The following is an 8691-nucleotide window of genomic DNA, read 5'->3' on the forward strand; positions in this document are numbered from 1 at the left end:
GTTAATATCTTGCTAATCATAGGTTATGGAAAGACTGTGTTTCTGTTTTAAGGCTCTGTTAGAAATTGCTGATACACACACTATATTGTAAATTCTTATCCCTGTATACTGTACTTCTGCATACAGACGTTATGTTAAAGAATTACTTCATCCCCATGTGACCATCTCACCTTATAATCAAATGACCCTAAATCCCTCCCTAACCTACCCTCGCCCTCACTAAACTTAATGATAAATCCTGGTATATCCAGTGCATTGTTGACACTGCAGGACCAGAAAGCAGTGACATCCCCTGGACCCAGTTTTCACTATCTTGTGTGTGTCTATTGTTTCTCAACCTGCCAACCCACCTAGGAACAAAGAGAGAGCCCCGTTGCATTGTGGGCTGCTGGCCAGATCCTGCAATATTTGGCACCCAACGTGGCCTTCTTTGTTCCTGGGCTCAGTGCACTCTGAGTGCGGGTTCGTGATGACTAGTCTTCAGTCTCGACAGTAAGGTCTCTGGGTACACTTTTTCCAATGCTCCCCTCTTTTCAGGTTTGTTGACTGGTAATATTCCAGGGTTATTATGGGACAATTGCAGTTTAAACACCAGGCTTATCTGTCTTTTATTAAACTTCTTCTTAAACAGGGTAGAATCAAGGCTGATTCCAATAACCTTATTCTCTTATTTCAGACTATTGAAAAACATTGTCCTTGGTTCCCTGACAAAGATTCTATGGACCTGTTAGACTGGGATAGAGTTGGCGCCACTCTCCGCCAACTCATGAGAGTTGGTGTTTTACATCCTATTTCTGTTTGGACTGACTGGGCTCTTATTCGTGTTGCTTTACTTCCTTTTCAGTCTGGTGATACTCTTCAAATGCCAGAAGTTAAGGTGGTTGGTGAACCATTCCCTTTACCTTGGGTAGCTGACCCCCCTACTAGTCCTCCTTCTGATGATGAAGAAGAATTCGATCTCTCCTTGTTTTCTCCCCAAGAGGAGGAACCTGGTGTTGATCCCCTCCCTCCACCTCCTATCTTGGAACCTGTATATATTAACTCTTCTTCTACCAAGCCGTTGTCCCCTCTGCCAGAGGAGGATGTGTGGCATTCATCTGAATCGGCTGTTTCTCATTCCTCTCATCCTTTTGGACCTCTCCCCTCTTCTAAGCCTACTGTTTCTTTTGAGGCTCCAGGACCCCTTATTTCAGAGGTTTGGAATCCTGCTTCCCCCCAGTCCACGTCCCGGCATGCTCACTCTCTTTCTCTCTTTTCCTCTGCCCCTTCACAATAGATGTGTGAGTCACCTGTTTGGGTAGAGTAGTGGCCACTTTCCAAACACAAGTTGGAGGCTTTAATTGAAATTGTTAATGATTTACTACAAGTAAACACTATTGAGCCCTCCTTGTCTCCATGGAACTCACATGTGTTTGTTGTACAAAAAAGGTCAGGAAAATGGAGGATGGTAACAGACTTAAGAGCTGTTAATGCAGTTATTAAACCTATGGGGGCATTACAACCCAGTATGCCCTCCCCTTCCATGATTCCTAAAGAATGGCCTTTAATTATCATTGACCTTAAGGACTGCTTTTTTCATATTCCTTTAGACAAGTCAGACTGTGAAAAATTTGCTTTTACTATACCTTCCACTAACAATTCAGCTCCTGCAGCTAGATATGAATGGAAAGTTTTACCTCAAGGAATGATTAACAGTCCTACTATTTGTCAGTTGTTTGTCAGTACTGTGTTACAACCTATCTGACAGACTTTTAAAAATAATTACATTTTTCATTATATGGATGATATACCGATTGCTGCCCCCACTAAAGATGAATTAATTCAGTGTTTTACCTTTTTAAAATTAGCTGTTGCCAAAGCAGGACTCCACATTGCTCCTGACAAAATTCAACAAGCCACTCCTTTCTGTACTTAGGAATGCAGCTAGAAGCTCACTCCATTAAGCCCCAAAAAGTCCAACTTTGTACTGACAATTTAAACACCTTAAATGATTTTCAAAAATTACTAGGTGACATCAATTACCTCAGACCAACCCTAGGCATCCCTACTTATGCATTATCTCATCTATTTGCCACTTTATCAGGAGATACATATTTAAACAGTCCTCGCTGTCTATCTGAGCCAGGAAAACAAGAGTTGTCTTTTGTAGAACAACGAGTGAGAGAGGCACAAGTCTCTCATATTGACACAAATTTGCCTTTACAATTTTTAGTTTTTCCTTCCATCCACTCTCCTACAGGACTTATAGTACAAAATGATTCTCTAGTTGAATGTGTATTTCTTCCTAATTCAGCCCTTAAAACTCTTTCAATATATATTGATCAAATAGCCACTTTGATTGGGTTAGGACGTCAATGTATCACTAAAATTTCTGGCTTTGATCCAAACATTATTGTGGTCCCTTTGTCAAAAAATGAAGTCAAACATGCCTTTTCTACATCTTTGTGCTGGCAGACTAATCTGGCTGACTTCGTTGGCACTATTGATAATCATTTACCTAAGTCAAAATTCTTTCAATTTCTAAGAAATACTTCCTGGATTCTACCAAAACTTACACATTCATCACCACCAGAGACAGCCGTTACCATTTTTACTGATGGATCAAGTAATGGAAAGGCAGGGTATGTAGGACCAAAAGATAAAGTCATTTCTACTCCATACACTTCTGCTCAAAAAGCCGAGTTGTTTGCTGTTATCTCTGCATTACAGGATTTTGATCAGCCTCTTAATATTGTCTCTGACTCAGCTTATGTAGTCCATGCCACTAAGGCAATAGAAACAGCTACCGTCAAAAATATTGCTGACACTAATCTGTTTTCCTTGTTCTCTTTATTACAAAAAACTGTCAGAAACCGAAACCACCCTTTTTTTCATCACTCACATTTGTTCTCATACTAACTTGCTTGGACATTTATCCAGTGGTAATCATAAAGTTGATACTCTAGTTTCTCTAGCCATTACAGATGCAGAACAATTTCGTCAACTCACTCATACTAATGCCAGAAAAACATTTCTCTGGTAACTGCCCCAGGGTAAACCAAGGAAGGGAAGTATGGTGGAAAGATGTTCAATCTAATATATGGTCAAAAGGTTCTATTTTAACGTGGGGAAGAGGCTATGCTTGTGTTTCCCCAGGTGAATATCAATCTCCTGTTTGGATTCCTGCTAGACACCTGAAATTATGTCCTGAAAATGCATACAACAACAAGACAGAGAAATTTGCTGAAAAAGCACCACAGCAAGAAACAACTAACACATCCAATCATCAAAAAGAAGAAAGTGACCATGCTAACTCCTTTACAACAGACAATCCAGTCAGCCATCCTGAACAACTTGTCTCTGCAGATCCAGGTCTGGCTCAGCCTCTGCCTCCTCCTGATGACACTGATCCTTCTACCCTCTGTCACCCAACAGACTGTTAAAAACTATACATATTGGGCCTATATTCCTTTTCCCTCTCTTATTTGATCCATGACATGGATGGACGTGCCTATCAGGTCTATGTTAATGATAGTATTTGGATGCCTGGTTCTGTAGATGATCCATTTCCCAGCTTGTTATTGGCCTATTCAGGGATTTGACTTCTTCCTGGTTTAGTCTTGGGAGGGCGTATGTGTCCAGGAATTTATCCATTTCTTCCAGATGCTCTAGTTTATTTTCATAGAGGTGTTTATAGTATTCTCTGATGGTTGTTTGTTTTTCTGTGGCATCAGTGGTGATATTCCCTTTATCATTTTTTAATATGTCTATTTGATTCTTCTCTCTTTTCTTCTTTATTAGTCTAGCTAGCAGTCTATCTATTTTGTTAATTTTTTCAAAAAACAGCTCCCAGATGCATTGATTTTTTGGAGGGCTTTTTGTATCTCTGTCTCCTTCAATTCTACTCTGATTTTACATTAATCCCCAAGACAATGGGGCAAATGTCCCCAGGGCATGTCAGAGATCTTCATAGCAGCCCATTCAATCACAGACCCACAGTCCTAAGAGAACATGGTTTTGTGGGCCGCACCCAGGTTCCCCATAACATGTGCAGCCTAGTGACTTGTTGCCCTGCATGCCAGCCATTCCAGCCCTGTCTGAAAGGGGCCAAAGAGCCTGGGCCATGGCTTCTGAGGGTGCAATCCCCAAGAATTGGCACCTTCCATGTGGCATTGAGCCTGCGAGTGCAGAGAACTCAAGAATTGAGGTTTGGGAACCTCCAGCTAGATTTCAGATGTATGGAAATGCTTGGATGTCCAGGCAGAAATTTGCTGCAGGGATTGGGGTCTCATGGAGAACCTCTGCTAGGGCAATGTGGAAGGGAAATATGGGGTTGTACCCCCCATACAGAGTCCCTCCTGGAGCACCACCTGGCAAAGCTGTAAGATTGCCACCATCCTCCATATCCCAAAATGGTAGATCCACTGATGTCTTGCATCATGTGCCTGGAAAAGTCACAGACACTCAATGCCAGCCCATAAAAACAAGTGGGAGGTAGGCTGTACCCTGCAAAGCCACAGGGAAGGAGCTGCCCAAGACCATGGGTACCCACTACTTGCTTCAGCATGACCTGCTTGTGAGACATGGAGTCAAAGGAGATCATTTTGGAGCTTTAAGATTTGAATGCCTGTTGGATTTCAGACTTTCATGGGGCTGTAACCCCTTTGCTTTGGCCTATTTCTCCCATTTGGAATGGCTGTGTTTACCCAATACCTGTACCAGCATTGCATCCAGGAAGTAACTAGCTTGCTTTTGATTTTACAGGCTCCTAGGCAGAACAGAAGTCCCTTCTGCCTTATCTCAAATGAGACTTTGGACTGTGGAATTTTGAGTTAATGCTGAAATGAGTTAAGACTTTGGGGGACTGTTGGGAAGGCATGGTTGGTTTTGAAATGTGAGGGCATGAGATTTGGAGGAGCCAGAAGCAGGATGATATAGTTTGGCTCTGTGTCCCCACCCAAATCTCATCTTGAATTACATGCTCATAATTCCCACATGTTGTGGGAGGGACCCAGTGGGAGATAATTTGAATCATGGGGGCAATTTCTCCCATACTGTTCTCATGGTAATAAATAAATCTCATGAGATCTGATGATTTTATCAAGCATTTCTGCTTTTGCATCTTCCTCATTTTTCTCTTACCTCCACCATGTAAGAAGTGGCTTTCAACTCCCACCATGATTCTGAGGCCTCCCCAGCCATGTGGAGCTCTAAGCCCAATTAAATCTCCTTTTCTTCCCAGTCTCAGGTATTTCTTTATCAGTACCATGAAAACAGACTAATACAGAGAATCTGATAATTATGTGTCTTGGAGTTGACCTCCTTGTGGAGTATCTTAATGGTGTTCTCTGTATTTCCTGAATTTGCATGTTATCCTGTCTTGCTAGGTTGGAGGAGTTCTCCTGGATAATATCCTGAAGTGTGTTTTCCAGCTTGTTTCCATTCTCCCTGATTCCTTCAGGTATTCCAATCAATTGTAGGTTCTTTTCACGTAGTCCCATATTTCTCAGAGGCTTTGTTTGTTCTTTTGTATTCTTTTATCTCTAATCTTGTATGCATGCCTTATTTCAGCAAGGTGGTCTTCAAACTCTGATATCCTTTCTTCCACTTGGTCGATTTGGCTGGTGATACTTGTGTATGCTTCATGAAGTTCTCGTGGTGTGTTTTTCAACTCCATCACGTCAGTTGTTTTCCTCTCTGAACTGGTTATTCTAGTTAGCAGCTCCTCTGACCTTTTATTAAGGTTCTTAGCTTCTTTGCATTGGGTTAGAACATGCTCCATTAGCACAGCGGAGTTTTTCTATTACCCATCTTCTGAAGCCTACTTCTGTCAATTCGTCCATCTCATCCTCCATCCAGTGCTGTGCCCTTGCTGGAGAGACATTGCGATCTTTGGGAGGAGAAGGGGTACTCTGGCCTTTTGGGTTTTCAGTGTGTTTTCATTAATTCTTTCTCATCTTCATGAGTTTGTCTACTTTCAATCTTTGAGGTTGCTGACCCTTGGATGGGATTTTTGTGGGGACATTTTGTTTTTGATGATGCTGTTGTTGTTGCTTTCTGTTTGTTTTTCTTTCAATGGTCAGATTCCTCTTCTGTAGGCCTGCTGTGGTTTGCTGGGTGTTCACTTCAGGCCCTGTTCATCTTGTTCACTCCCATGGCTGGAGATGTCACTCAGGGAGGCTGGAGAACAGCAAAGATGGGAGCCTGTTCCATCTTCTGGGATCTTTGACCTCCAGGGGCACCAAACTTATGACAGTAGGATTGCTCCTGTATAGGGTGTTTGACAACCTCTGTTGGAACATCTCACCCACATGGGTGGCACGGGAAACAGGACCCATTTAACAAAGCAATTTGACTGTTTCTTGGTGGAGGGGATGTGCTCTGCTGGGGGGAAACCCACTCATTTAGGCTGCCTGAATTTTTCAGAACTACCAGGAGGAAAGACCCCCACCCAGTGAAGAAAGATGGGTCAGGGTCATGTCTGAAGAGGTGCTCTGGCCACAGTCTACCATAGCCAGTGTGTTTGGCTGTGGGAGGTACCTCTTGGGACCAAGCCATCTAGTTTCCCTGGTTCCCACAGGGGAAAAACGTGGCTTGGAGCTTAGAGATGGATACCTCCCTTCCCCCACCTAGGGAGCTTAGAGTATTAGGCAGTTATGAGCCTTAGTGCTGGCTGCTGGCCTTTTCCCAAGGAGCTCAAATGGCTTAGACTACAGGCAGCTACAGCTGTGGTGCTGGTCACTTCTCCCCCCCCAGGAACTCAGCAGGCTTAAGCAGATTCTAGCTAAGAGGCTATTGAGAATCTGTGCAGCTCTGGGGTTGGAACCTTAGGCCCCAGTGGCATGGGTTCGGGAGTGGGATCTCCCGATTCTTGGGTTGCACTATTTCATGGAAAAAGCACAGTTTCCCCAGCAGGATAGCATGCTCACTCACTGCATCCCTTGGCTGGCGGGGTCGGGGCTCCCCTGCTCTGTGTGGCTCTCAGATGGGCCACCACGCCGCACTGCTCTTCCTTGCTCTCTGTGGATCACTCCAGCCACCTAGTTAGTTCTGATGAGAGAAGCTGGATAACTTGGTTGCCGGTGCAGGATTAGCCTGCCCCAGTGTGCTGGGCATCATCCAATTCACTGAAGGACTGAATAGAACAAAAAGGTGGATGAGGGCTGGGTTTTCCCTTTCAATGCCTGGCTGCTTGAGCTGGAACATCAGTCTTCTCCTGCCCTCGGCATTCCTGGTTCTCAGGCCTTTAGACTGCAACAGGAATCTATACTATTGGTTCTCCAGATCCCAGGACCCCTAACTATACCACCAGCTTTTCTGAGTTTCCAGGTTGCCTATTGCAGATTGTGGGACTTCTCAACTTTCATACTCATGTAAGCTAATACTCTCTCTCTCTTTCTCTTTATCTATCTATCTATCATCTATCATCTATCTATCTAATCTTACTGGTTCTGTTTCCCTGGGAAACACCAACTAATACAATAATCATTCTACAATGTACTAGATAGGCAGTAGAAAAAAAATCACATGGAAAAAGTTATCTGCATCAATCTTTAATCCACATTCCCAATTTCCTTTGGAAAATAAAACAATTCAGAATAGTTTTCTTTCTAATTTTTTTCCTGTAATGCTATATTTGCATTGCCTTATCATCCTGACATACATTCTTTCCACTATTATCTAGTCTACATATTCCTCTTAGACTCACATTTCTAAAATACAAAACTGAATGTCTCACTAATATTTTCTGTATGCCAAAAAACAAATTGCTTAGCCTGGTATTTCACTTCATCACAGCTCTCATTTCTATGATACTTATAACCCTGAAGGCAGCCTGTATTTCTGTTAATTCCTCAAGTATACATACACCGGACTGTTGTGTGACTTTTTGTACCTCCCATTTATCTCACCTTTCCCCCATTTCCTTGGTGAAGATCAATGTGTTATTCTTTCCATATAAAGATTAATTACTTTCTCTGCTATGAAGAGTTCCTTTATTACTTTCTAGGCATAATTAATTGTTCTTTCTCAGTGCTCTCACAACTCTTTATATAAGATATATATTATAATTTTATATGAATTTGCTGAATATAGTTAGTCACTCTTCTGTTAGAAGTTAAGATTTTGAGTGAACAAACATAATACTTTCTCATCTTTGTATTTTCAGAATTCTTCACACCACTGGATATATTGAATGAAAGAATGAGTGGTGCAGAGAACCCATAAATCATGAAATCCGAGAAGTTGGACACAATGAATACAGTGTTCTATGAAGATAAATATTAATAATAAAATTGTTAAAATTGAACACTTTCTCAATGCAACCTGAGAAATAGGGTTAGTTATGGAAGAGATACTCTGGTGTACCTATTTTTATTCAATTGGTGAAAAAGCAGATACAACCAAAGGCAAAACACTTAGAGTAGAAAAAGAACTGCAACATCACTCAACCATTCCTTGCTAACAAGCAGAGAGTACCAGTGTTTTTCAGTTTAAAGAAGTGGAAAGTTTTAACAGTAGAATGATAAAATTGTAATAATATAAATTATTTTTCAAATACATTAACAAAACTAAGGATTTTCTGAAGTTTTTGATAAAGTTCAATCTCAAAGTAGATTACTTGTTGAGTATTATGGCACTACAGGATAGAATTTTAGAGAACAGAGTAGAAAGCAGAAAAAGAGCATTCCTGAAGAAATCGGGAAATAGAAT

At 41.7% G+C, this 8691-nt stretch overlaps 1 long non-coding RNA gene across 2 annotated transcripts; it reads left to right on the forward strand.

Annotated features, from left to right (window-relative positions):
• Positions 1 to 432: 432 nt before the first annotated feature.
• Positions 433 to 8287, forward strand: LOC105373992 (uncharacterized). 2 transcript variants are annotated; one of them, XR_924224.2, is made up of 3 exons: positions 433 to 492; positions 3136 to 3351; positions 8147 to 8287. It is a non-coding gene; the product is annotated as an uncharacterized LOC105373992 (long non-coding RNA). The 2 variants fall into 2 exon arrangements; XR_924225.2 differs by having other exon boundaries at positions 3170 to 3351.
• The last annotated feature ends 404 nt before the right edge of the window (positions 8288 to 8691 follow it).

The sequence above is a fragment of the Homo sapiens genome, chromosome 3 (assembly GCF_000001405.40).
Source record: "Homo sapiens chromosome 3, GRCh38.p14 Primary Assembly".
In the NCBI taxonomy this organism is placed as follows: domain Eukaryota; kingdom Metazoa; phylum Chordata; class Mammalia; order Primates; family Hominidae; genus Homo; species Homo sapiens.